The 269-nt window shown below is 44.2% G+C and overlaps 1 protein-coding gene across 3 annotated transcripts in view, besides 2 other annotated features; it reads right to left on the reverse strand.

The window, feature by feature from the left end:
• Positions 1-269, reverse strand: part of FIGN (fidgetin, microtubule severing factor) — a 133398-nt gene that overhangs the window by 65068 nt on the left and 68061 nt on the right. The gene's annotated exons all lie outside the window — the stretch shown is intronic.
• Positions 1-269: part of a silencer, noted in NCBI's record as "tiled region #10417; K562 Repressive non-DNase unmatched - State 24:Quies", that runs on past the window's edge. NCBI's record gives its function as "represses a minimal TATA promoter and a strong SV40 promoter by Sharpr-MPRA in K562 cells {active_cell/tissue: K562}" and the evidence as "EXISTENCE:reporter gene assay evidence [ECO:0000049][PMID:27701403]".
• Positions 1-269: part of an enhancer, noted in NCBI's record as "tiled region #10417; HepG2 Activating DNase matched - State 5:Enh", that runs on past the window's edge. NCBI's record gives its function as "activates a minimal TATA promoter and a strong SV40 promoter by Sharpr-MPRA in HepG2 cells {active_cell/tissue: HepG2}" and the evidence as "EXISTENCE:reporter gene assay evidence [ECO:0000049][PMID:27701403]".

Consider the following 269-nt stretch of genomic DNA (forward strand, 5'->3'; position numbering starts at 1 on the left):
TCCTCTACTGGGCTTCATCCAACTCTACATTCCCCTTGGGATTAATCATATCCTGTTCTAGGCAGCTTCTGTACTTTGGACAGGGTTCCACTGCTGCGTTCTTCACACTGTGCTGTAACTGTTTATTTGTATGCCTTCCTCCCTCACAAGACTCTGAAACCTTGAGGGCAGGAACTGCATCTTCATCATCTCTGCATCCCTAGCGCAGAGCCTGGAATATAGATATGTGTGTACGTCTTTGAATAAGTAAATAAACAAGCAAACATTCA

Source organism: Homo sapiens, chromosome 2 (assembly GCF_000001405.40).
Source record: "Homo sapiens chromosome 2, GRCh38.p14 Primary Assembly".
Classification (NCBI taxonomy): domain Eukaryota; kingdom Metazoa; phylum Chordata; class Mammalia; order Primates; family Hominidae; genus Homo; species Homo sapiens.